The sequence below is a fragment of the Homo sapiens genome, chromosome 16 (genome assembly GCF_000001405.40).
Source record: "Homo sapiens chromosome 16, GRCh38.p14 Primary Assembly".
Lineage (NCBI taxonomy): Eukaryota > Metazoa > Chordata > Mammalia > Primates > Hominidae > Homo > Homo sapiens.
This window is the reverse complement of record NC_000016.10, coordinates 57836807-57864459: the sequence shown is the minus strand read 5'-3', so window position 1 is coordinate 57864459 and position 27653 is coordinate 57836807. Positions and strand designations below refer to the sequence as shown.

The 27653-nt window shown below is 45.1% G+C and overlaps 1 protein-coding gene across 8 annotated transcripts in view, besides 3 other annotated features; it reads left to right on the top strand.

Moving 5' to 3' along the window:
* Nucleotides 1–1601: 1601 nt before the first annotated feature.
* The window catches only part of KIFC3 (kinesin family member C3), a 104642-nt gene continuing 78590 nt past the window's right edge, over nt 1602–27653 (top strand). For 6 of the 8 annotated variants that reach the window (XM_047434085.1, XM_011523075.2, XM_011523076.2 and 3 more), the window contains exon 1: nt 1602–1731. In XM_047434085.1, the coding sequence (XP_047290041.1) occupies nt 1624–1731 (108 nt within the window). In that variant the 5' untranslated portion in view covers nt 1602–1623. Of the gene's footprint in view, nt 1732–17894; nt 18112–27653 lie in introns of those variants that run through there. The other 2 variants (XM_047434084.1, XM_047434080.1) reach the window with 1 other exon arrangement.
* Nucleotides 16932–17813: an enhancer, noted in NCBI's record as "OCT4-NANOG-H3K27ac-H3K4me1 hESC enhancer chr16:57880551-57881432 (GRCh37/hg19 assembly coordinates)". NCBI's record gives its function as "activates a minimal SCP1, AML or CMV promoter by ChIP-STARR-seq in naive H9 embryonic stem cells {active_cell/tissue: H9 hESC(naive)}" and the evidence as "EXISTENCE:reporter gene assay evidence [ECO:0000049][PMID:30033119]".
* Nucleotides 17814–18697: an enhancer, noted in NCBI's record as "OCT4-NANOG-H3K27ac-H3K4me1 hESC enhancer chr16:57879667-57880550 (GRCh37/hg19 assembly coordinates)". NCBI's record gives its function as "activates a minimal SCP1, AML or CMV promoter by ChIP-STARR-seq in naive H9 embryonic stem cells {active_cell/tissue: H9 hESC(naive)}" and the evidence as "EXISTENCE:reporter gene assay evidence [ECO:0000049][PMID:30033119]".
* Nucleotides 26344–27080: an enhancer, noted in NCBI's record as "H3K27ac-H3K4me1 hESC enhancer chr16:57871284-57872020 (GRCh37/hg19 assembly coordinates)". NCBI's record gives its function as "activates a minimal SCP1, AML or CMV promoter by ChIP-STARR-seq in primed H9 embryonic stem cells {active_cell/tissue: H9 hESC(primed)}" and the evidence as "EXISTENCE:reporter gene assay evidence [ECO:0000049][PMID:30033119]".

The window sequence follows — 27653 nt, the reverse complement described above, 5'->3', positions numbered from 1 at the left end:
AAACTCCTGACCTTGTGATCCACCCACCTTGGCCTCCCAAAGTGCTGAGATTTACAGGCGTGAGCCACTGTGCCTAGCTGAAAAATTTAAAATTAGCTGGGCATGGTGGTACATCCCCGTAGTCCTTGCTACTCAGGAGGCTGAGGTGGGAGAATCGCCTGAGCCCAGGGATTCGAGGTTGCGGTGAGCCGTGATCATGCCACTGCACTCCAGCCTGGGCCACAGAGCAAGACCCTGTCTCAGATAAATAAATAAATAAATAAATAAATAAATAGTAAGGAAGAAACTTGAAAATACATATATATTCTTAATAAATACTTAATTTGTGGTTTTATTGAGTTATTGGAGTCCCATGCCATAGGCCCTTCAAAAGTACATGTCCTCCCAAGAAAAATATTTAATTACAGTAACAAGCAGTAAATTGATAAAAGAACAAGAGGGCCAGGGTACACAGGAATTGTTTTATTGCCTTTTCCATGTCTCAGGCATTCTATAATTGTCTACTTCATCCATGTTCTGAAGCTAATTATTTATTCCATCCCCAGGATAAAGTTAGGTCTCTTGGTTTAACTTTGTATTTGCAGGTTTGACCTAATTCCTTGCCGGCTCATAATATAATTAAAGTTGGCATTTCCTTCTCTTATCCGCCCTCCCCACTCCCCGGCTTTCCCTCCCCGCTGTGTGCCTGTTTATCACTAGATGGTGCTAAGACTTGGGTTATAGCTGCCAGAGACTCTGGGAAAGTTGTTCAGGAGCCAAGCAGGCTGGAATTTGAGAACTGGAAGATGCCTTCAGAGCTCATCCGGACAGCACTTTTGTTTTACAAATGAGGAAACAGAAACTCAGTGAAAATAAGTAATTTGTCAGAGACCCAGAGATCTCTCCCCTCCTTTTTTTTTTCTCTTTCTTATCTGTTAATAGCTTCCAGTGTTACCTCATCACCCAGGAAGGAGCACAGCTCAGAGAGCAACAAGGTCAGAGTTGCTTTGCAGAAAGCACTTTGGCAGCTGCATGGTACCATTCATTGATTCATTTATTCATTCCAAAAGCAGTTATTGGGTACCTACTTTTTGCTTTGCATAGTGCTAGACGTTGGGAATAAAAATCAGATGAGAATTCCTAGGATTCTAGGAATTCACATTCTCTTAGGAAATACAGAAATGCAAAAAAAAAAAAAAAAAAAAAAAAGAAAGAAAGAAAAAGAAAAACAAACAAACAAACAAAAAAAACAAAAATCACCCCCTAAATCAAAGATGCTATAATAGACGTGATTATAGGACACTCTGGTCACTTGGAGGAGTTTGCAGCCAGCTGCATTCATAATTCAAAGGGAAGATTTTGGTGAGCTAACATTGGAGGCTGAAGCGCATATCGGATCTTGTAGGCAGAGGAATGGGAGGGAGGGCAGTCCAGGCAGACAGCATCATGGGTGAAGGCTTGGAGAGCTGGTGAGGCTTGGTGGAGACAGCAGCTGATTGTGGCTGATGACCAAAGGGCAGGGTCAAAGGGGCAGGTGGTAATCTGGGAAGGAGGGGACGGACTTCATCCGAGGTGTCATGTTCAGGAATTTGTACTTTATCCTGAAGGCTACAGGACAACCCAGTAAAACGTATTGCTCGGAAAATGGCACAGATGGAGTTTCTTTTCAGGAAGAACACTCTGACAGCTGCATGGAAGCCCAGACACCAGGAAACCCTCAGATTGGAGGCTGGTGTCCCGGAGCAGTGCAAGGTAAGGGCCTGGCTGGGTTGGGGCAGTGGGAATGGGAGGAGGAGGCCTGTTGGAGAGAAATTTCAGAAGCAGGACTGACAACATCTTTTTGAAAAACAGTGATTGGGATTGTAGCTAATATTCTTAGAAGATGGTTACCACTCTGGTATTTGAATTACTTATAAAACATTGAAGGGATGAAATTTTAATTGAATACACATATTACTTGAATACAATTTTTGAAATTATTTTTAAAATACAACTTAATGGCAGTATAGTAATCCTCCCTTATCCACAGTTTTGCTTTCTGAGGTTTCAGTAACCCTCGGTCAACCAAGGTCCAAAAATATTAAATGGAAAATTCCAGAAATAAACAATTCATGAATTCTAAGTTGCACGATGTTCTAAGTAGCTTGATGAAATCTCAGCCAGGCAAGGTGGCTCACACCTATAATCCCAGCACTTTGAGAGGCTGAGGCGGGAGGATCACTTGAGCTCAAGAGTTTGAGACCAGCCTGGGAAAGACCCTGTCTGTACTAAAAAAAAAAAAAAAAAAGCCAGATGTAGTGGTAAGCACCTGTAGCCCCAGCTACTCAGGACAGAAAATTAAATAATAATAATAATAAGGACGTCAAAAAGCTCCCAGGGAGTAGCAGGTAAGCCCAGCTGCCAGAATTCGCTTCCAGAAGCTCATCCTTGTTCTTTGATGATCTATACATATGACTAGCCAGTACTTCCACTCCTTCAGCTTGAAAATATTTTACCTGTTGGAAAGATTATTATTATTACTATTATTATTTTGAGGCAGAGTTTCACTTTGTTGCCCAGGCTGGAGTGCAGTGGCACAATCTTGGCTCACTGCAAACTCCGCCTCCCAGGTTCAAGTGATTCTCGTGCCACAGCCTCCCAAGTAGCTGGGATTACAGGTGCACACCATCACGCCCGGCTAATTTTTGTATTTTTAGTAGAGACAGGGTTTTGTTAGGCTGGTCTTGAACTCCTGGCCTCAAGTGATCCACCAGCCTTGGCCTCCCAAAATGCTGGGATTACAGGTGTGAGCTACCGCGCCTGGCCTAGGAAAGATTATTTTGATCACATGGCTCCCTTTTGCCCTTCTGGCCCCCAGTACCATGGTGCAAATTGTTTTATGATCGACCCCTGGGAAAGTGGACGCTGGGTCCACGGTCCTTCCTGCCACCTGCAATACATCCTTGGGAACATCCAGACCAGCCATGTGCCCTGATCAGCTTTGTTTCATTTATGAGATTGATAATTAACAAATTAATTATCTAAGGTTGTGCAGTGAGAGAAGGAAAGACATTGAGATAGAAAGTTAATAGTGTCAGAGATGTCCTAACCAGAGTGACTCCATCTTGAATAAAGGCTGGGTAAAGCCAATCCTGCTGGGTAGCATTCCCCATTTCCAGGGGGTTGGTACTGTTGGTCACAAGATATTTATGGCTGAGGGGATGAGTTAATGATGCTAACTTACCAAATAAAGACCCAGAACTTATGGAAACGTCCCAATATTTCAAGAACAAAATGCATTCTTAGTTTAAGAATAGGTTTTGCTTTAAAGATAATAGTACACATATAAATTCTTGTGGAAATCAGTAGTAGCATAGGAAAATAACAATACTAATAGCCCGTCACAAGCTGATCAAAAGTCTTTGTAATGAAGTATGCTATTCTTAACAACCTATATAAGCAAGCACTATGTTTAAGGTGAGGCATTCTTGGCCAGGCATGGTGGCTCATGCCTGTAATCCCAGCACTTTGGGAGGCTGAGATGGATGGATCTCTTCAGCTCAGGAGTTGAAGACCAGCCTGGCCAACATGAAAAAACCCTGTCTTTACAAAAGATATAAAAATTAGCCAGGCGTGGTGGTATGTACCTCTAGCTCAGCTGCTTGGGAGGCTAAAGTGGAAGGATCAATGGAGCCTGGGAGGTTGAGACTATAGTAAGCCATGATAGTGCCACTGTACTCCAGCCTGGGTGACAGAGGGAGATATTGTATCTAAATAAATAAATAAATAAAAAGTTTAAAGTAGGGGCATTCCTCCTCTTGCTTTCTGAGGAAGCCCTACTCCGTAATAGTCTCTAACAAACTATCTTAACTTCGCTATACTCTGCAACTTGCCCTGAATTCTTTCCCAAGAAAGTGAGATCTAAGAGCCCACTCTTGGGGTCTGGGACAAGACCCATTTTCTGGTAACAGCAATGGTAATGAATGAACATATGTAAGTTAATTATCATTTGGATGTCCAGTTTGATTTTCTTATTTTAAATTTTTTTGAGACAGAGTTTCACTCCTGTTGCCCAGGCTGGAGTGCAATGCATGATCTTTGGCTCACTGCAACCTCCTCTTCCCAAGTTCAAGTGATTCTCCTGCCTTAGCCTCCTGAGTAGCTGGGATTACAGGCATGTGCCACCATGCCCAGCTAATTTTGTATTTTTAGTAGAGACGGGGTTTCACCATGTTGGTCAGGCTGGTCTTGAACTCCTGACTTCAGGTTATCCACCTGCTTCGGCCTCCCGAAGTGCTGGGATTACAGGCGTGAGCCAGAGCCCCAGTTTGATTTTCTAAATTGTACTCTGCCTTTATAGAATTTCCTAGGGAGGAATTAAGGGAGCTTCACCTGCCCCACTTGTTTTTATTTTATTTTATTTTATTTTATTTTATTTTATTTTATTTTATTTTATTTTATTTTATTTTATTTTATTTTTGAGACAGAGTCTCACTCTGTTGCCCAGGCTGGAGTGCAGTGGCACGATCTCAACTCTCTGTAACCTCTGCCTCCTGGGTTCAAGCCATCTTTCCTCCTCAGCCTCCTGAATAGCTGGGACTACAGGCATGCGCCACCACACCTGGCTAATTTTTGTATTTTTAGTAGAGACAAGGTTTCACCATGTTGGCCAGGCTGGTCTCAAACTCCTGCCCTCAAGTGGTCTGCCCGCCTCAGCCTCCCGAAGTGCTGGGATTACAAGTGAGTCACTGCACCCTGCCTTGATTTTATTTTAAATGTTTGTGGGGAATGTGGGGATGAAACTAACAGTTCCCTTTGTAGTGACCTACACAGTTGCCCTCCCACTGTAACTGGTGTATGACTTCGGCGGGTGTGGGAGGAGTGTTGCTTGTGGGAAATTTCTAAGGCTGATGTAGACAACATAATCTTAGGGTCTGTAGCAGCTCAGCAGGAATGAATGAGCCCCCTGCTGGAGTTTCTGAGAGCTTCGTGAAAACAGCTATAATTAGTATCTCCTTAGTGAGACTCTTTTGACGCTTTAACTAAAGTCATTCATTCCATTTTAACTGCATGAAGCAAGTGCTGGAGGAAGGAGGGTGAGGAACGTAGCCTTATCTTAAGTCTAGAAGTGGAAGCAGACAAAATACTCAAGCTGAGAATATAGATTAGTAAACTCCTTATTTTTGGTGTGTGTCTTTAGCGTAGACATTTCTGGAAAGGCTTGTGTCTCCTCTTTGTGATCAGGCACAATATTATCTTTGCTGCCCATCACAGTATAAAGTTGTAGAGTAGTAATGGCTTCAAGGAAATCTCTAATCCTCCAGAATAGAAACTGTTCAAATACTTTCTGAAATAAAGAGGTGGATATGGTCCTATGTATTATATTAAGATAAGAACAAGGTAAAGTAAAAGTGTCTGTTTGCCTTTTTTGTTATAAAACCAAAGAATACGTCACAGAATATTTTTCCATGCATTTGTCTGTCTTCATATACATAGCAATTAAATTTGTTTTGTGAATTCAATTATGTATTTTCTTTTCTTTTTTTTATTTTTTGAGACAGTCTTGCTCTGTTGCCCAGGTTGGAAAGCAGTGGTGTGATCTCAGCTCACTGCGGCATTGATTTCCCCAGTTCAAGCTATTCTCGTGCCTCAGCCTCCGGAGTAGCTGAGATTACAGGCACGTGCCACCACGCTCAGCTAATCTTTTTTGTACTTTTAGTAGAAACAGTGTTTTACCGTGTTGGCCAGGCTGGTCTTGACCTCCTGACCTCAAGTGATCCGTCCACCTCAGCCTCCCAAAGTGCTGGGATGACAGGTGTGAGCCACTGCACCCGGCCTCAATTATGTAAATTTAAATTTGTTAAGGGAGGGGATGGTTAAAAAAAAAGCTATGTTTGTGAATTGGTGAGATATAGAAAGTTAATGACATGCAATTATACACCTGGAGCAGAACTCCAGAGAAAGACAATGCTGGCTGTCATGATGTGCACTGACTGTCATGAGGTGCACTTTAATTTTCTATAAATGGTTCACGGACCTTATATTGGATATCTTTCTGCTATTACTGAAATGAGACAGGAAGGAAAAATCAAAACAAAACAAAAAGCAAAAATAAAACAAAAAACTAAAATTGGCTTCAGCTATTTCTGTGTTCCGGGGAAGGGAAGGCTTCTTCTCCTAGGGGCGAAGTGCTCTGCGCCCGGGAAGACATATAATGGACATTTGGATTGCAATGAGGCTCTGAGACTAAAAGAAGCTAAATTTCTTTGCTCATTCAGTATCAGGAAAGCTAAAAAAAGAAAGCTATTGCAGCACTATTCATAGTAGCAAAGACTTGGAAACAACCCAAATGCCCATCAATGATAGACTGGATAAAGAAAATGTGGGGCCAGGCGCGGTGGCTCACGCCTGTAATCCCAGCACTTTTGGAGGCCGAGGCAGGTGGATCACAAGGTCAGGAGATCGAGACCAGCCTGGCCAACGTGGTGAAACTCCATCTCTACTAAAAATACAAAAATTAGTCGGGTGGGGTGGCATGTGCCAGCTACTCGGGAGGCTGAGGCAGGAGAATCACTTGAACCCAGGAGGCGGAAGTTGCAGTGAGCCGAGATCGTGCCACTGCACTCCAGCCTGGGCGACAGAGAGAGACTCTGTCTCAAAAAAAAAAAAAAAAAAAAAAGAAAGAAAGAAAGAAAGAAAAGAAATAAAAAAAAAAAGAAAAAGAAAATGTGGCACATATACACCATGGAATACTATGTAGCCATAAAAAAGGATGAATTCATGTCCTTTGCAGGGACATGGATGAAGCTGGAAACCATCATTCTCAGCAAACTAACACAGGAACAGAAAACCAAACACTGAACATACTCACTCATAAGTGGGAGTTGAACAATGAGAACACATAGACACAGGGAGGGGAACGTCACACACTGGGGCATGTTAGGGGGTGGGAGGCTAGAGGAGGGATAGCATTAGGAGAAATACCTAATGGAGATGACGGGTTGATGGGTACAGCAAACCACCATGACACGTGTATACCTATGTAACAAACCTGCATGTTCTGCACATGTATCCCAGAATTTAAAGTATAATTAAAAAAAAAAAAAGAAAGGTTTTAGGGGGTTCTGGGAGACTTACGAAAGTCAGAAATGGGCTAAGAGTCTCAGGAGGCCAAGCTGAAGTCAGGGGCCCTGGAACAAGATTTGGAAACAGGCTGTGCTAAGGAAGAAGAAGCCAGTATCTAAGGTATGGCGATTCCTGACCTTCACGTTTACTCTTTCCTGAGAATGTTGGCAGAAACCAGAAGAATATATCCTTCTCTGAAGATCCTTGGAAGACACACAGCACACAGGGAGAGTGGGCCTGTGCTGCTCTGCCTTGGAATTAAAGCACTGCTGTATCTTTTGCAGGTGGATTTTGTGGTATGTGGTCAGTTGTAGGCATTACTAATAAATAGCAATCCATCAGATTCATTGGTATCGGGGTAATGCTGGGCTCACACAATTAGTTAGGAAGTGTTCTACTGGTGTTATATCTTCTTGAAATGTTTGGTAGAATTCACCAGTAAAACCATCTGGACCTAAGTTTTCTTTTCTGGAAGGATTTTAGCTATGAATTCAATTTCTTCTAACGGATATAGGACTATTTAGTCTGTCTATTTCTTCTTGGGTGGGTTTGGTAGTTTGTGGCTTTAAGGAATTGGTCCATTTCATCTAAATTGTCAAACTTATGTGCACAGAGTTGTTTGTAATATTTCCTTATTATCCTTTTAACATCTGTGAGGTCTTTATTATATACACACTTTCCTTCTGATATTGATAATTTCTGTCTTCCCTCTTTTTCTTTGTCAGTCTAGCTAGCAGTTTTAATTGATTGTTTCAAAGAACCAGCTTTTGGGTTTATTGGTTTTTCTCTATTCTTTTTACACTTTTCTTTTCTTTCTTTCTTTTTTTCTTTCTTCTTTCTTTTTCTTTCTTTTTTCCCTCCCTTCCTTCCTCCCTCCCTCCCTCCCTCCCTTCTTTCCTTCCTTCCTTCCTTTCTTTTTTTAGACACGGTCTCTGTCACCCAGGCTGGAATGCACTGCAACTTCCACCTCCCAGCTCAAGCGATCATCACACCTCACCCTCCTGAATAGCTGGGACCTCAGGGGTGTGCTGCCATGCCAGCTAATTTTTGTATTTTTTGGTAGAGCCAGGGTTTCACCATATTGCCTAGGGTGGTCTCAAACTCCTGAGCTGAAGCAATTCATCCATTCTGGCTTCCCAAAGTGCTGGGATTACAGGCATGAGCCACTGTGCCCAGCCTTTTTTTTTCTTTTTTTTTAAATTTAAATTTTAGTTATATACAGACAGGGTCTTGCTATGTTGCCCAGGCTGGTCTCAAATGCCTGGGCTCAAGTGATCCTCCCACCTCCACTTCCCAAAGTGCTGGGATTACTGGTGTGAGCCCCCTGCGTCCAGCCTTATTTCCATTACCATTTATTAATTTCTGCTCTTAATGTTTTGTTTTTTGTTGTTATTGTTAGTTTGTTTTTGTTTTTGGTTTTTTTTTTTTTTTGAGATGGAGTCTCACTCTGTCACCCAGGCTGGAGTGCAGTGGCATGATCTTGGCTCACTACAACCTCTGCCTCCCAGGTTCAAGCGATTCTTCTGCCTCAGCCTCCCTAGTAGCTGGGACTATAGGTGTGTGCCACCACGCTGAGCTAATTTTTGTATTTTTAGTAGAGACATGGTTTTGCCATGTTGGCCAGGCTGGTCTCGAACTCCTGACCTCAAGTGATCCACCTGCCTTGGTCTCCCACAGGGCTGAGATTACGGGCCTGAGCCACCACACCTGGCCAAGTTCTGCTCTTAATGTTATTATTTCTTTGCTTCTGCTTGCTTTGAATTTATTTTGTTCTTATGATAGTTTCTTAGGTTGGAAGCTTAGCTTTTTTTTCTCTGCTAAGATAAGCATTTGATGTTATAAATTTTCCACTAAGTACTTTTTACCTGAATCTCACAAATTTTTATATGTTGTACTTTTGCTTTCATTCAGTTTAAATATTTCCCAATTTCTATCCAAACTTTCACCTTTTTGGCTGGGTGCGGTGGCTCATGCCTGTAATTCCAACATTTTGAGAGGCCAAGGCGGGTAGATCACATGAGGCCCAGTGTTTGAGACCAGCCTGGCCAATATGGTGAAATCCTATTTCTATTAAAAATACAAAAATTAGCTGGGCGTGGTGGGGCACGCCTGTAATCCCAGCTACTTGGGAGGCTGAGGCATGAGAATCACTTGAACCTGGGAGGCGAAGGTTTCAGTGAGCCAAGATGACACCATTGCACTCCAGCCTGGGCAACAAAGCAAGACCATGTCTAAAAAAAAAAAAAAAAAAAAAAAAGAAAGAAATGGGGAGGGGGAACCCCTTTCACCTTTTTTATTTTGTTTTTAATTTTTATTCTTTGTAGAGATGGCATCTTGCTATGTTGCCCAGGCTCATCTCAAACTCCAAGCCTCAAATGATTCTCCCGCCTTGACTTCCCAAAGTGCTGGGATTACGGGTGTCAGCCACTGTGCCCAGCCAAAACTTCCACTTTGATTCATGGATTATTTAGAAGTGTGTTGTGTAACTTTCAAGCACTTGGAGATTTTCCAGATATTTTTCTATTGATTTCTAGTTTAATTCCTTTGTGGTCAGGGAATAACTTTATATGATTTAATTTCTTTTAAATTTGTTGAGATTTGGTTTATGACCCAGGGCACTTGAAAAGAATATATTCTGTTGTTCTTGGGTAGAGTATTCCAGGAATGTCAGTTAGATCCAGTTGGTTGATGGTGTTGCTCACGTTTCTATCTGTGGTAATTTTCTTTCTTTCTTTTTTTTTTTTTTTCTGAGACGGAGTCTTGCTCTGTCACCCAGGCTGGAGTGGAGTGGCGCGATCTCAACTCACTGCAACCTCCACCTCCCAGGTTCAAGCAATTCTCCTGCCTCAGCCTCCCAAGTAGCTGGAACTACAGGTGCATGCCACCATGGCTGGCTAATTTTTGTATTTTTAGTAGAGACAGGGTTTTGCCATGTTGGGCAGGCTGGTCTCGAACTCCTGACCTGAAGTGATTTGCCCGCCTTGGCCTCCCAAAGTGCTGGGATTATAGGCAAAAGCCACCGCACCTGGCCCCATCTTTATACTTTTAACATACCTATATCATTATATATAAAGTGGGTTTTCTTTTAGACATCACGTAGTTGAGTTTTTTCAAAAATTCAATTTAACAATTTCCAGCTGGGCATGGTGGCTCACACCTGTAATCCCAGCACTTTGGGAGGGTGAGGCAGGTGAATCGCTTGAACTCAAGAGTTTGAGACCAGCCTGAGCAACATGGTGAAACCCCATTTCTAGCAAAAATACAAAAATTAGCTGGGTGTGATGGTGTGCACCTGTGGTCTCAGCTCCTCAGGAGGCTGAGGTGGCAGAATTGCTGGAGCCTGGGAAGTCGAGGCTACATTGAGCCATGATCACACCACTGCACTCCAGCCTGGGTGGCAGAACGAGACCCAGTCTCAAAAAATAATAATCAAATAAAAATTAAGGCCAGGTGCAGTGGCTCACACCTATAATCCCAACACTTTGGGAGGCCGAGGAGGGTGGATCACTTCAGGTCAGGAGTTCGAGACCAGCCTGGACAACAGGGTGAAACCCCATCTCTACTAAAAATACAAAAAATTATCCGGGTATGGTGGCGCACGCCTGTAATCCCAGCTACTCAGGAGGCTGAGACAGGAGAATTGCTTGAACCTGGGAGGTGGAGGTTGCAGTGAGCGGAGATTGTGCCATTGCACTCCAACCAGGGTGACAGAGCGAGACTTTGTCTCAAAAATAAATAAATAAGCAAAATTAAAAACTAAAATTAAAATTAAAAAATTCTTTTAGTTGGTGTATTTAGACTATTTACACTTAATGTGATTATTAATATGCTCGAATTTGGGTTCACCAATGAATTGTTTTCTGTTTGTTCCCTCTATGTTTTGTTTCTGTTTGCCCTTTCTTATCCTCTCTTAGATAATTTGAATACTATTTTATTTTATTTTATTTTATTTTATTTTGAGATGGAGTCTTGTTCTGTCACCCAGGCTGGAGTGCAGTGGCACAGTCTCAGCTCACTGCAACCTCTGCCTCTTGGGTTCAAGTGATTCTCCTGCCCCAGCCGTCCAGGTAGCTGGGACTACAGGCATGTACCACCATGCCCAGCTAATATTTGTATTTTTAGTAGTGACAGGGTTTCACCATGTTGGCCAGGCTGGTCTCAAAATCCTGACCTCAGGTGATCCGCCCACCTCATCTTCCCAAAGTGCTGGGATTACAGGAGTGAGCCACCGCGCCCGGGCAGATTATTTGAATACTTTTAGTATACCATTTTAATTTATCTATTGGGTTTTGATTATATTTCTTATTTTAAAATTGTTTTAACATTTTTTCCTTGTCTTCAGGATTTTCTAGGTATATATTTCTTTCTATAGTGCTTCTGTACAAAGAAATATACTATAGCATACTAATTTTAGTTCTGTACAAAAAAATTTCTATGTCTTCTATACAAAAAAGAAATTCTACAAGGAAAGTTTTAAAATTGCTCTAGGAATTACAATATACATATTTAGCTTTTGACAGTCTACTTAGAATTGCTATTCGATCCCTTTAAGTGGAATATAGAATCTTTTCGCTAGATAGGTTCCTTTAGTCTCCCCTAGTTTGGCTCACGGCTCACGGGAGCTTACAGAACAATTTTTACTCCTAATCTAAATGTGCTTTGAACTAAACCTCTTGAAGTCAAATATTAATGTATAGGACTTCTAGTTGAAGACGGAATATTTGCATTCATTTCCATCCCTTCCTGAACCCAAATGAAATGATTGTAAAGGATTTAAAAAGTAAAAATCCATAAGGATAAAGATAATAGAAGAGGAAAAACAGTAGACGAAAGGTGTTAAGGAATCTGGATTTTGGAACACCTGGCCCAGAGGTGAGAGCTGAGGAAGCACCGCACCCGAAACCCAGGGATGATGTGAAACTCACTCAGAACACTGAGACCTCTGGCCTCCTGCCTTCTCTTAGGTCTCAGAATATTGGCAGCCAGGGTTACAGCTGATGATGAGGCAGGAGGTGGGGTGATTCACTTCTGGGGAAACAAATCAGCTCTGGAGAAAGGAACTAATAAAACTGACAATGAGGACCCTCCAATGAGTGCTCCAAGGCCCGGGTCCATCACCCTGCAGCAAAGTCCTCCAGTCACAAGCTCCACCCCCACATACAGGTCCGACTGACTGTTAGTGTCTCATCTTAAATATGAACAGAAAGCCAAGGATAATCTCACAGTTTGTCTCTAACATAAAAGTGAGACCAAAATAAAATAAGCAGGAAAAAAGAGACAAAGAAAATAGACAATCTAGGGAAAGAAAGAAAGGAAGAAATAAAAAAGAAAGAATGAGCTGGGTGTGGTGGCTCACACTTGTAATCCCAGAATTTTGGGAGGCCGAGGAGAGAGGATCACTTGTGGTCAGGGGTTTGAGACCAGCCTGGCCAACATGGAGAAACCCCATCTCTACTAAAAATACAAAAAAATTAGCCAGTGTGGTGGTACATGCCTGTAATCCCAGCTACTCAGGAGGCTGAGGCAGGAGAATCGCGTGAACCTGGGAGGCAGAGGTTGCAGTGAGCCAAGATTGCACCATTGCACTCCAGCCCAGGCGACAGTGCGAGACTACCATCTCGAAAACAACAACAACAACAAAAATTAGCCGGGTGTGGTGGTGCAGGCCTGTAATCCCAGCTACTCAGGAGGCTGAGGCAGGAGAATCACTTGAACCTGGAAGGCGGAGGTTGCAGTGAGTCGGGATTGTGCCACTGCACTCCAGCCTTGGCAACAGAGCGAGACTCTGCCTCAAAAAAAAAAAAAAGAATGAACGAACGAATATTATAATAGTTCCAGAGACAAGAGGCAATTACACTCTTGAAATGCTATTGAATAAATGAATATTCAAAACCAAGACAATCTCCAGATATTACCAGGGATAAGGAAAAATAAAATAAAATAAACACAAGAAAAATCTATGTGTTTTTAATATGAGGGGAAAAATCAGTAAGTGGATTGGAAGATGAAGTTGAGGAAATTTTCCAGGAACTAGAACAAACAGAGAGAGATGAAAAATAATAGGCCATGCATGGTGGCTCACACTGGTCATCCTAACACTTTGGAAGGCCAAGGCAGGAGGATCACTTGAGACCAGGAGTTTGAGACCAGCCTGGGCAACATAATGAGACCCCCGTCTCTACAAAACATTAAAAAAACATTAGCCGGGTGTGGTGACACACTCCTGTAATCCTGGCTACTCAGGAGGCTGAGGTGGGAGGATGCCTGGAGCCTAGGAGCTTGAGGCTGCAGTGAGCGGTGATCACACAACTACACTCCAGTCTGGGCAACAAAGCAAGATCGTGTCAAGAAAAGGAAGGAAGGAAAGGAGGGAGGGAGGGAAGGAAGGAAGGAAGGAAGGAAGGAAGGAAGGAAGGAAGGAAGGAAGGAGGGAGGGAAGGAAAGAAGTTGAAATCAAATCAGCAATTTCAAAGAATTCCAGAGAGAACAAAGAAAGGGCAGAGAATATCAATGAAATAACACAGGAAAACTTCCCACAGCTGAAGCACTGGAAGGGCCTGCGGAGAACTCCGTACAATGTATGAAAAAGACCCATTTTTGTGGCTGGGCACAGCGGCTCACTCCTGTAATACTAGCACTTTGGGAGGCCGAGGCGGGTGGGTCACCTGAGGTCGGGAGTTCGAGACCAGCCTGGCCAACATGGCAAGACCCCATCTGTACTAAAAATACAAAAATTAGCCGGGCATGGTGGCAGGCGCCTGTAATCCCAGCTATTTGGGAGGCTGAGGCAGGAGAATCGCTTGAACCTGGTGGATGGAGGTTTTAGTGAGCTGAGATAGGGCCACTTCATTCCAGCCTGGGCAAAAGAGTGAGTGAGACTCCATCTCAAAAAAAAAAAAAAAAAAAAAAAACCCTTTTTAAAATTTATTTTTATTTATTATTATTATTATTGTATTATATTATTTTGTTTGTGTGTGACAGGGTCTCACTCTCTCCCCCAGGCTGGAGTCCAGTGGCTCAATCATGGCTCACTGCAGCCTCAAATTCCTGGGCTCAAGCAATCCTCCTGTCTCAGCCTCCTGAATAGCTGGGACTACAGGTGCATGCCACCATGCCCGGCTAATTTTTCAATTTTTTGTAGAGACAGGGTCTCGCTATGTTGCCCAGGCTGGTGGTCTGGAACTTCTGGGCTCAAGCAATTCTCCCGCCTCAGTCTCTCAAGGTGTTAAGATTATAGGCATGAGCCACCACACCTGGCTTTTATTATTACTATTTATTTTTTAGAGAAAGGGTCTTGCTCTGTCACCCAGGCTGAAGTGTAATGGCACGATTATAGCTCACTACAGCCTCAAACTCCTGGCCTCAAGTGATTCCCCTACTTTTCGAGGCTGATTCCCCTCAAGCCTCCCAAATTACTAGGATTACAGGTGGAAGCCTCTGCACCCGGCCCATTAACTATTTTTTGTTGTTGTTGAGATGGAGTTTTGCTCTTGTTGCCCAGGCTGGAGTGCAGTGGCATGATCTCGGCTCACTGCAACCTCCACATTCCAGGTGCAAGTGATTCTCCTGCCTCAGCCTCCCAAGTAGCTGGGATTACAGGCACACACCACCACACCCGGCTAATTTTTGTATTTTTAGTAGAGATGGGGTTTTATCATGCTGGCCAGGCTGGTCTTGAACTCCAGACCTCAGATGATCTGCCTGCCTCGGCCTCCCAAAGTGCTGGAATTACAGGCATCAGCCACCACACCTGGCCCCATTAACTATTTTCTAAACACCTCTACCCCTATCTTCTAGAGGCAGTGAGTTTACGTTCTCCTTCCCTTCATAAGACAAAGGGCACCAACTCTGTAGTTTAAAAGACTATATTGACTTTCAGATTTTTAGAGAAGTGCCACTATGAACCCACAGAGCACTTAATAAGGGTTTTAAAATAATTAAATCAGTAATAACAAAGTAAAGGCCGTCACAGATACACACACACAGCAGTTTGTCTCAATCGATCTGATGTGTGTTAAGTTTGCATTGTCATTATCTACAAGGTAATTTATCTCCATTAAACTGGTCTGTAGGGGATACATTGATGAATGAAATCTGGGTTTCATTGCTTTGTTTATTTACAACGTACCCTTTCTACTGAGATCACCAATTATCAAGAAACTGTGATGGTAGTTGCCTTAAATTGGTTAACTGGGTTTCTGTCCCCAAAAAGGCTTAAATTTAGACGAGTAGAGCCACAGATATAAACCTCTAAAGCTTATTACTAACTCCTCTGTTAATCTCTGTACTGTCTGATCACTCAGCTACTATTGTTCTCTGCTTATGGAAAAGCACAGAAAAAGTGTGGTACTTACCATGACATCTACAGGAAGAACAGTTTTAGGATTCTAGGATTAGTGTTTAAGTGGAACCGGGGAAGAGAGAAGAAATTAAATCATCATAGAAATGTTCTCATAAAGCTTAATTTTATGTGAATATTTTTCACCTTGAAAACAAAGTTTAAGGTCACAGTTGCCAGAGAATCTAAATTCCTTATTTTTATGTATTTATTTAGAGAAAACCTCTAGTTTTTTGTTATGGCTGCCTGAAGGTGGCACATGCATTAAGTCCTAAGACATGCTAAATCTTTTTGTTAAAAACCCTGTGTAGCCATTCTTAGGGCTTCCTTTTAGCAAGAGAGACATTTTAGCAGTCTGCACACAGAATCGGAGATTAGCTTCATATGGGCGTCTTTTAATTTTAATTTTTTGAGACAGGTCTTATTCTGTCTATCAGGCTGGAGTGGCAGTGGCTCAGTCACAGCTCACTGCAGCCTCAAATTCATGGGCTCAAGGGATCCTCTGGATTCAGCCTTCCCAATAGCTAGGACTACAGGCATGCACCACAACGCCCAGCTAATTTTTAGAATTTTTTGTAGAGATGGGATCTGGCTATGCTGTGCAGGCTGGTCTGGAACTCCTGACCTCAAGCAATCCTCCTGCCTCGGCCTCCCAAAGTTCTGGGATGAGCCACCACACGGGGCCTCCATGCTGGCATCTCAATGCTGGTCCTGAATTTCGGCTTTCTGTGTGGTCCTTCTTAAGCCAGTTAAACCACTCTCTGTTTGCTTGATCATAAAAACAAATGAATGTTCATCTGAACAAAACGAGCTTATAGCTTTAATAGAATCTCCAAAATGTATGGCAACTTCAAGGCATTAGACAGAAAATAACAACAATAAAACTTTGGCTTCTTTACAAAGTATTTAAAAGTATTTAAAAATTGTTTTGCAAATAACTCTTCTGGCATCCAGGCCAAGCATGGTGGCCCACGCCTGTAATGCCAGTACTTTAGAAGGCTGCGGCAGGTGGATCACTTGAGGTCAGGATTTCAAGACACACCTGGCCAACATGGTGAAACCCCATCTCTATCAAAAATACAAAAATTAGCCAGATGTGGTGGGGTGCGCCTGTGTCCCCAGCTACTTGGGAGGCTGAGGCACAAGAATTGCTTGAATCTCGGAGGCAGAGGTTGCAGCGAGCTGAGATTGTGCCACTGCATTCCAGCCTGGGCAACAGAGTGAGACTCGGTCTCACACACACACACACACACACACACACACACACACACACACACAAATTCATCTGGCATCTGGACTTAATCTAAAAATATATTCTTGAACAATAAGGCCAAAGGGAAAGAAAAGTCTCAATGTTCTCTTACGCATTTATATCATCTGCAAATCTCTTTCAGGACTCCCCTCCCCTGCTTATAACAGAAAATTGGGCAGCCCTGTGTGTTTGTGTCAATTCCACAAATTGACAGAATCAATTTGTGGAATCTCTAATCTTTTTCTATCCATGGAACACTCCTAACACCAAATGTGTGTTGTTTCTTCCCCACACCAATAAATTCTCTGTGACACCAGCTGCATGTCCTACAATTTTTTCAAAATTACTTTTTATTGTTTATAGACACAGGATTTTTACTGTGTTGCCCAGGCTGGTCTCGAACTCCTGGGCTCAAGCAAGCCTTCCACCTCAGCCTCCCAAAGTGCTGGGATTACAGGTGTGAGCCACCTCTCCCTCCCTCCCTCCCTCCCCGCCCTCTCTCCCTCCCTCCCTTCCCTTCCTTCCTTCCTTCCTTCCTTCCTTCCTTCCTTCCTTCCTTCCTTCCTTCCTTCCTTCCTTCCTTCCTTCCTTCCCTCCTTCCTTCACAGATTCATTGCTCTGTCACCTCAGGCTGGAATGCAGTGGTGCCATCTGGCTCACTGTAACCCCCGCCTCCCGTGTTCAAGAGATTCTCATGCCTCAGCCCCCAGAGTAGCTGAGATTACAGGTGTTCGCCAGCACACGTGGCTAATTTTTGCATTTTTAGTAGAGATGGGGTTTCACCTTGTTGGCTAGGCTGGTCTCGAAATCCTGGCCTCAAGTGGTCTGCCCACCTTGGCCTCCTGAAGTGTTGGGATTACAGGCTTGGGCCACTGCACCAGGCCTAAATATATTTCTTATGCCACAGAATCACAAAGGAAAACACACTTCTTTTTATAGGTCATTTCTTTGTTTTGCTCATAAAGACTTATCCCAGGTCACAGTCAAGCTCATGAAATTCATATAAGTAGAAGGTTTCTCAAAACCCAATACGTGAGTGTTTGTTTGGGAAAGAAATTGTACCTATCAGAATGAAACGAAAGTGGATCGGTTGTACAGCCTTGAACCAGCTGCAGGGGTGACACTTCTAATCTGCTTTTCTCATTCTCGTTAACAACCAGATGGAGTGGGGGAGAAAGGAGGGAGGATGGGCTGTCTGCGAGCAGCTTCCTTAAAGGGTTTGACATGAGAATTTGCACCTGCTGGGCTGAACAGCGCCTTCCAGGCATCTCCGCCCAGGTGGCTGGGTTTCCCAGCAGAACATCGCATTCCAGTGTCTGCCGCAAGCCCTCTTCTGTTAGGTCACCCTCCACCATCCGCCTTCTTCAGCCATCAGGATTCTCATTTAGAAAGACTGCAAAGCCCTGTGTCCAGGTTGGAGGCAGCCGGGAGGCCACAGGTAGGGAAAAGATGTGTATCTCATGGCTTTGTCTGCTTCTCCCGGCCTGGCTTTAGGTCTGGAACCAGGAGCCCCATAGTGCTCTCTGGGCAGCAAAGGACCCAGGGGTGTGGTCCTCTACTGCCCAGCCCCACCCAGGGAGAGGGGTGGAGTTCTCCCTCCACCAGGCCATCACCAGCCCCTGGAGGTCCAGCCTCTTCCTGCTCTGGTGGGGAGGGAGTGGGCACAGGCTTATAAGTGTCTTGGCATGAAAGGGTTGGGTCTCCAGGCCCCTCACCTTGTCTACTCTTCCCTCATCTCATCTCCTGAGGGGCAGGGAAGTCAAATGCATTTCCTCTGTTCTCTTTCTCAGCTTTGTTTTGACAAAAACCCCACAGCTCTGGGGCAGCCCCTTCCTTTCACAAATCTTAAAGAACCCTCTGTAAGTTTAAACTCTACCAGTGCCCAGGAGACACTGGCAAACAATGTAGAAAAAGATCTTCACCTCTCAGAGGTGACTCTCCCTCACAGAGGAAAACAGGGAATAAATAACAGGCACAAAAATACATCAACATTTTGTCTGTTGGAAGGTGTTAAGTGCGAAGACTAAAAAACAAAAACCAATCAACCAATCCAACAGCAGAGTAAGGGGTGCAAAGAGCTTGGGGCAGAGGTGGAAGATGAGGAGTGAGTTGTGATTTTAACTAAGGAGATCAGGGAGAGTCTCCTTGAGGAACACCTGCCTGAGCAGGTGTGGAGGGAGGGAGAGAGCCCTGTGGATATTTGGGGAAAGAATGTCCGAGGTGGAAGAACCCACGCAAAGGCCCTGAGGCTGTCTGGCAGATTTTAGGAGCAGAGCAAAGGTGTTGGGAGGGATAGGAGGTTTGGAGCAGAGAGGGCTTGAGGGCCACTGCAGAACCTTGGTTTTCACTTGAAGCGATATGGGGGCCACAGACGGCTTTGAGCAGATGAGTGACGTGATTGGCTTCAGTTTTAACAAGATCAGTCAGGCCGCTGAGTTGCGAGGTGATTGCAGCTGGTCAAGGACTATCGCAAGAGTCCAGGGAGGGATGGTGGGGGCACTGGCAGTGGTGAGAAGTGGACAGATTCTGGATAATATTTGAAGGTAGAGCCGGCAGGAGTTGTAACATGAAGGCTGCACCTGCAGGGTTTGCACGGAGTCACTGAAAGGATGCAGTTGCTATTAGCTGGGATGAGAAGGCTGAAGGAGAAACCAGATTTGTGGGGAATGAAAATCAAAGTTCCAGCGTGGACATCTTGAATGCCCACTTGGATATCAGGAGCCTAGGTCACTTAATTTTTGTCTCCCTGCTATAAAAATTCTAATTCTTCTCAAGACCATATGGGCTGCAGAGGAGACGCACTGGCTAAAGAACCCAAAGGGTAACATTTCAAGAACCTTGCTGGTGACCTGGGTCAGTTCCTGGAAGCTGAAGATCCTGTCCTCTAAGCCTTTTAATTGCTGAACTAATGACTGAATGCCTGCCTTGTTCAACACCACAGCCGCTGCAGGGTCTGTCTAGGAATTGGTGAACCAAGCAGAAAATTCCAGGGCACAGGCTGCTGTGGGCTCCAGCATAGAAGACTGTGCTCCCATAGACTGTCAGAGCGAGACGGGCTGCAGACTACCATGTTTGTAGTTCCAGCCCTGGTATGGCTCTGTTCAAACACCTGGGGCCTGCGGAGGGGGCGGTGGGGAGAGTGGGACAGAGACCCCAGCACAGGCCAGGAGGAGGCCCCCGGCTGGCACTGGCGCAGCTCCAGCACCTCCAACAAAGATATTCTTGCTGAACTCCAATCCCCCTCCCCAGGGTGCATCCTGATCTCAGAGACACGAGGCTATGGCTTTCAGGTAAGGGTCCTTCACCAGACCTTGCCAATAGGTTTACGCTGCCTTTTTTTTTTTTTTTTTTTCCCTGAGACTGAGTCTTGCTCTGTCGCCCAAAGCTGAAGTGCAATGGCAAGATCTCGGCTCACTGCAACCTCCGCCTCCCGGGTTCAAGCAATTTTCCTGCCTCACCCTCCCGAGTAGCTGGGATTACAGGCGCCTGCCACCATGCCTAGCTAATTTTTGTATTTTTAGTAGAGATGGGGCTTCCCCATGTTGGCCAGGCTGGTCTTGAACTCCGACCTCATGATCCTCCTGTCTCAGCCTCCCAAAGTGCTGGGATTACAGGCATGAGCCACCGCGTCCAGCCTACGCTGCCTTTAGATCAAGGAAAGAAACTTCTTTTTTTTTTTGAGATGGATTCTCACTCTGTCGCCCAGGCTGGAGTGCAGTGGTGCAATCTTTGCTCACAGCAACCTTCATCTCTCAAGTTCAAGCAATTCTCCTGCCTCAGCCTCCCAAGTAGCTGGGATTACAGGCGTGCACCACCATGCCCAACTAATTATTGTATTTTTAGTAGAGACAGGGTTTTACCATGTTGGCCAGGCTGGTCTGGAACTCCTGACCTCAAATGATCTGCCCACCTTGGCCTCCCAAAGTGCTGGGATTATGAGCGTGAGCCACCATGCCCGGCCAAGGAAAGAAACATCTCCAGGGTGGAGTATAGATGTTTTCCTTTAGGCCTTGCAAACATGTCTAAAGGTATTCAATTTAGGTATTTCCAGTATTTTCTATACCCTCAGAAGCTCCTGCCAACTGCCCAGATCTGACTCACTGAGCACCAGGGATTTTGTTTGTTTGTGTCTTATTTTGGTAGAGATGGGATCTTGCTGTGTTGCCCAGGCTAGTCTTGAACTCCTGGGCTCAAGTGATCCTCCTGTCTCAGCCTCCTAAGGTTCTGGGATTACAGGCTGACCACCCCATTTTTCTAATGATGAGTGTCTATGCAGCCAGGGCACCAGGGCATCAGAACCCAGCGCCATCAGTTCCTGGCAAGGGCCTTGAGCAAGTCACTGGACCAGCCTGTATCTCAGTTTCCTCCTTTGTGAAATGGGCCAACAGTAAGTAGTGATGAGGCAAAGCAGGTGAAGTGTGCGGTCCAAGGCCTTGTTGGCAGGAAGTACCCAATAAAGGTGGTCAGTGTTCATATTCTGACTGTCTCATGGTTGAATCTCTGTCAAGTGGTTCAGAATTAATTGAAAATCCTTTTGTCTGAAATATTTTGCCCTGATTTGCCTGTGAGATTCTTTTATACACAGTTCCTGGCACAGAGTAGGTGCTGTATGATATTTATTTATTTACATTTATATTTATATATATATTTTTTGAGACAGAATTTCACTCTTATTGCCCAGGCTAGAGTGCAATGGTGTGATCTCGGCTCACTGTAACCTCTGCCTCCTGGGTTCAAACAATTCTTATGCCTCAGCCTCCCGAGTAGCTGGGATTACAGGCTTGCACCACCATGCCTGGCTAATTTTTATATTTTTAGTAGAGACGGGGTTTCACCTTGTTGGCCAAGCTGGTCTCAAACTCCTGTCCCTCAGGCGATCTTCCTGCCCTGGCCTCCCAAAGTGCTGGGATTGCAGGCATGAGCCACTGTGCCCGGCTGCTCTATGATATTTATTTAGAGGAATTGGAACATAATTGTGTGGCCTAGTGTTGGGACCTGAACTCTCTCTGTACTGGCTGTGTGATCTCAGCCACAAAACATCTCCTAAACCTCAGTTTTTGGACCTGTTAAAATGAGAATAATGGGCTATTATTAGGATGTTATAATAAGATAATATAATAATGGGTTGTTATGGGATGAAAAGAGAAAGCAAACGACAGAGGCTTCGAGTCAATGCCCAAGTTGTTAGTCTGATTGAACAGTGTTACTGAATTACGAAATTGAATTATTGAATTATTATTGAATTATTTTTGCTGCTGTTGTTGTTCTCATTGTTGATAAAATGGTGGAGCCTGAGGCTGGCATTGGATGTGAGTTTTTGAGTGATTCCCGCTCTGCTGCACTGGACTGCATGAATTATTTACAAGTTTGTTACCCAGTTCTACTTGATGGATTGATTTCTTCACTCCATAAATATGCAGTGAATGTCCACTCCATACCGTTCCAGACACAGGGGGCTCTGACCCTGGCCCAGCAAGCACATTTCTGACCCCCTGGAGCTTGCATTCCAGGTGGGGGAGGCAGTTAGTGAACAAGATCATTTCAGACAGCGCTAAGAAGCATGAGGAGATTTTTTATTTTTTTTTTTGAGACGGAGTCTCGCTCTGTTGCCCAGGCTGGAGTGCAGTGGCACGATCTCAGCTCACGGCAACCTCCACCTCCCAGGTTCAAGCAATTCTCCTGACTCAGCCTCTCAAGTAGCTGGGACCTATTACAGGTGCACATCACCATGCCTGGCTAAGGAAGCATGAGGAGATTCAAACGCAGGGAGAAGGCAGGAGATGGCCGGTGGGGATGGTCAGGGAAGGCCTCTCCGAGGAAGTGACATTTTTAAGGCCTAAGAGTAGAAAGACAGGAGCCACCCTTGAGAAGAGGGGAGGAGGTGGGGATGGGGTGTGTGGGGGGTGGATGGGGTGTCCCAGACAGGGGGACAGCCAGAGCCAAGACCTTGAAATGGGGAGAGCCTGGCATGGTGACAGACACAAGAGACTCATGCAGCTGGAGAGCTGGAACTGAGGGCAACGCGCATTTGAGAGGCCCTTGGCAAATGCTATAAGGTCTCATGGGCGATGGGAAAGAGTTTGGGTTTCATTCTGGGTTTTGTTGTTGTTGTTTTTGTTTTTGAGACAGTCTCGCTCTGTCCCCCAGGCTGGAGTGCAGTGGCACGATCTCAGATCACTGCAACCTCCACCTCCCGGCTTCAAACAATTCTCCTGCCTCGGCCTCCCAAGCAGCTGGGTTTACAGGCACATGCCACCAGGCCTGGCTAATTTTTTGTATTTTTAATGGAGATGGGGTTTCACCATGTTGCCCAGGCTGGTCTCAAACTCCTGGCCTCAAGTGATCTACCCACCTCAACCTCCCAAGGTGCTGGGATTACAGGCGTGAGCCACTGCGCCTGGCCTGGGTTTCATTTTAATGTAATAGGGAACTTTAGGAGGGTGGCAGCTCTTCTGGGTGTTTTGTGGATCACTTCCCTACCTCCTTCAGGTCTCAGATGCCCCTTTCAGTGGGGCCTTCCTTGACCACCCTACTAGAAATTACAACTCCCTACTTCAAGAGCTGGAAAAAATTCAGCCACCCATCCCTCCATGTCCTCCTTTGAATTATTTTTTTCCACCACTGTTACGGTCCTCTATCACACTCTAAATTTCACTCTTTGATTTTCGTCTATTGTTCCGTCTCTGCTGATAACGCAAGGTCCAGCAAGGGCTAGAACAGCACTGTCCAGAGTAGGTGTGCAAATATTTGCTGAAGAAGAGACTGCAGAACGTGACAGGGTTGAAGCTATGCCTTCACAAGGTCCCTCTGGCTGCCTGGTGGAGGAGGATCGCCAGAAAGCCGGAGTGTGGACACAGGAAGCCTAGTATCTGCTGGTGAGGCTTCCAAAGACATCTGGGACAAAGGTGGGAGGTGGCCAGGTTTGACATTGTCTTGCGTGTAGAACCCATTTGACTTGGTGACAGCTGGGGTGAGGAGGGAGAGAACCTGTGCTAGGTTTATTTTAACTTTTTTTTTTTTTTTTTTGAGACAGAGTTTCGCTCTTGTTGCCCAGGCTGGAGTGCGGTGGCGAGATCTCGGCTAGCTACAACCTCTGCCTCCTGGGTTCAAGTGATTCTCCTGCCTCAGCCTCCCGAGTAGCTGGGATTACAGCCATGCGCCACCATGGCCGGCTAATTTTGTATTTTTAGTAGAGACGGGGTTTCCCCACGTTGGCCAGTCTGGTCTCGAACTCCCGACCTCAGGTGATCTGCCCACCTTGGCCTCTCAAAGTGCTGGGATTACAGGCATGAGCCACCGTGCTCAGCCTTTAACTTTTATTTTTTTACAGACAGGGTCTTGCTATGTTGCCCTGGCTAGTCTTGACTCCTGGGCTCAAGGATCCTTCCTAGTAGCTGGAATTATAGGATGAGCCACTGTGTCTGGCAAGCTAGGTTTTTGTTTGTTTTCGAGACAGAGTCTTGCTCTGTCACTCAGGCTGGAGTTCAGTGGCTCGATCTCAGCTCACTGCAACCTCCACCTCCCGGGTTCAAGCAATATTTCTGCCTCAGCCTCCTGAGCAGCTGGAATTACAGGTGCGCGCCACCACGCCTGGTTAATTTTTGTATTGTTAGTAGAGACGAGGTTTTGCTATGTTGGCCAGGCTGGTCTTGAACTGCTGACCTCAGGTGATCCGCCTACCTTGGCCTCTCAAAGTGCTGGGATTATAGGTGTGAGCCACCTTGGCTGGCTAAGCTAGGTTTTCTGACTAGAGCAACTGTGGCCATTTACTGAGACTGGGAAGGCTGGGGAGGAATGGGCCAGCGAGGGGACAATCCAATTTGAGGAGTCAGTTCCAGGAGTCTGTTAGGCAGCGGAGAGTGGAGTTGTTAATGGAAATGGATGGTGATGAAAAGGAAAGTGCTTAAAATAGTGGAGAAGCTGTCAAATTGACAAATATGAGTTGCTCAAGAATGATGGAATTTTAGATCCAGGGGGGAAAAAATCACTAAAACTTAGATTTAAGTTCAGATAAATAAACCTGACACGTTTATTACATTCAAATGTAAAGAAATGAATAATAATGTTAGCCAAAATGCCTGCATTTTCAAGTCACAGGAAGTGCTTTAGGATAAATTTCAATGAAATTTAAAATAAAATGAAGGGAACGATGATAGGTAAGGTCTCCAATTTACAGGATTTTTTTGAGGGGGTGTTTCAGTTACAGAGACATTTATAAATAATCTTTTTATTATTATTATCATTATTGAGACATGGTCTTGCTCTGTCACCGAGGCTGGAGTGCAGTGGGATGATCATGGCTCACCGTAGCCTCCACCTCCCAATCCCAAGTGATCCTCCCACTTTAGCCTCCCAAGTAGCTGGGACCACAGGTGTGCACCACCATGCCTGGAATTTTTTTTTCCTTTTTGTAGAGATGGGGTCTCCCCATGTTGCCCAGGCTAGTCTTGAACTCCTGAGCTCAAGGGATCCTCCCGCCTTGGCCTCCCCAAAGTGCTGGGATTACAAGCTTGAGTCACTGTGCCCAGCTAATCTTTATTATTTTAGGGGATGGATATCATCACCCCAAATATGGTTTCTTTTTAATTTTTTTAGAGACAGGGTCTCCCTCTGTCACTCAGGCTGAAGTGCAGTGGCTTGATCATAACTCACTGCAGCCTTGACCTCCTGGCCTCAAGTAATCCTCCCACTTCGGCCTCCCCAAGTGCTGATGTTACAGGCGTGAGCCACTGTGCCCAGCCTCAAAATAAGGGTTCTTCAACAGAATGCTATTCTCAGTTTTAGTAAGAGGCCCTGTGTATCTCCCCATTAATCCCCCACTCTGCACCTTGCTAGTCAGGCCTCCCCAGTGTTTCCCAGGGGCCATTTCATCCATGTCATCTTTCCACCGAAAGCGTAACGCAGCTACACATGGCGGTGCCTTTTTGTTGTTTGATTTCCACACACAGAGACGCCACAGATTTTTATGGGATGGGATTTGCGGTGACTGTAAGGTGCAGGAGTGGTTCAGGAAGCAAAGATGACAAGGGCAAAACCCGTGAAGAAATGGATTAAGCAAAGCTATGATCAAGCGTAACCCTGATGGTCTTAAAAGCATTTTGCTTTTTGGAAAATGGAAGCTGCAACACCATCAATTTCAGCTCGTTCTTTCCTCCCGGGGAAGTCCCAAAGCAATATTTTCCACGTAAAGATTTTCCTGTTCCTGTGAAAATGATTTGCTGACAGCTCCTGTTTCCCACTCGGGGCTGTGCTTTCCGAACACCGTCTTGTCTACGTGTGCTTGGTAATAGATATGCATGAAGCCGCACCTTTGAGAAAAATTGCTGCAGACAAGAGCAGGCTGGGCTGTAACTAGGTGGCTGTGTCTGGAACTCCCGGGATATGTTTAGTATTCCATGTGTGTCATCCTCAAAAATTGCGTGGCTGCGAGGACCCAGCCAGGGCTGCCACTAGTATATGCTGTGTAGTTCGCAGGGCGCATGAATTTTGAATCTCAGAGGCTGCTTGGAGGCGGTTTGTAGCTGAACCATCAGCTGCTCTTGCAGGTGAATTTGAATTTAATTCCATCCCCGGCTGCGAGGCTTGGGAAGCTGCTTGTTCCCTGCATTTTTCTCTTTGTTCTTTGGCAGCAGATTTGCTTGCATTGTGTGGTTTGGTACAGAAAACAATTGCTCCTTCAGAAGATGAAAGGTGATTCTGCACTCTCGATGGATTTAAGCTGTGCTATGCTTCTTCCTCGTCTTATATTTTTTCCCCTAACCCCGGCTACTTGACCCTGGTTCAGCAAGCCAGTGTGGCTTCAAGCCAGTGTGGCCCACCAGGAGTTAGCGGACCTGGGTCTGGGCTGCGCTCTGCCAAGGCCAATCTGTATGGCCCTCCACTTGAGCCTCAGCATCCCATCCACGCAGCAAGCAAGTTCACCATCACCTCCACTGCCTTTACACGGTGAGGTTGGCTCTGCCTGCTGTGGATGTTCTCAGACGGGGTTTTCTGTGCACTGTTAAAGTCCCGATTCCCAAGGCCTTGTCTAGGAGCAGTACCAACCCCTTCAATTATGAAGACTAATGGGGGAAACAGACACACCCTCATCCTTGCACATCCCTGAGGACACATGTCTGCCCACACCTGCCCAGAACAAATGCTGGGAAAATGAAAATGTCAATTAAATGGTTGCTATGGCAACTAGTCTCATGTTTACTGCTACTCTTTCTTTCTTTCTTTCTTTCTTTCTTCCTTCCTTCCTTTCTCTTTCTTTCTTTCTCTTTTCTTTCTTTCTTTCTCCTTCCTTCCGTCTTTCTCTCTCTTTCTTTCTTTCTTTTTTGACTGAGTCTCACTCTGTCACCTATGTTGGAGTGTAGTGGCATGATCTTGGCTCACTGCAACCTCTGCCTTCCAGGTTCAAGCAATTCTCCTGCCTCAGCCTCCTGAATAGCTGGGATTATAGGCTTGCACCACCATGCCTGGCTAATTTCTGTGTTTTTAGTAGAGACGGGGTTTCGCCATGTTGCCCAGACTGGTCTCAAACTCCTAGGCTCAAGCAATCCACCCGTCTCGGCCTCCCAATGTGCTGGGATTATAGGCAAGAGCCACCACCTGGCCCTGCTGCTACATTGTCAGTGATGTAATGTTTTTCTCTATTGAGTTGATTGAATTCCTTGGTTGTTGCCCTCACTCGCCAACTCTGTCACCCTTACAAAACACATACACACACATAAACAAACACACACACACTATATGCACTGGTTTCTAATGACTAGCAGAGCCTCCGGTGCATCTTTAAAGGACTGAGATGAGGCAAGGTACAGTGGCTTACACCTGTAATCTCAACACTTTGGGAGACCAAAGCAGAAGTATCACTTTATACCAGGAGTTTGAGACCAGCCTGGGCTATACCACAAGACCCTATCTCTACAAAAAAATTTTAAAAATTAGCAGCTTATGATGGTGTGTGCCTGTAGTCTCAGCTACTCAGGAGGCTGA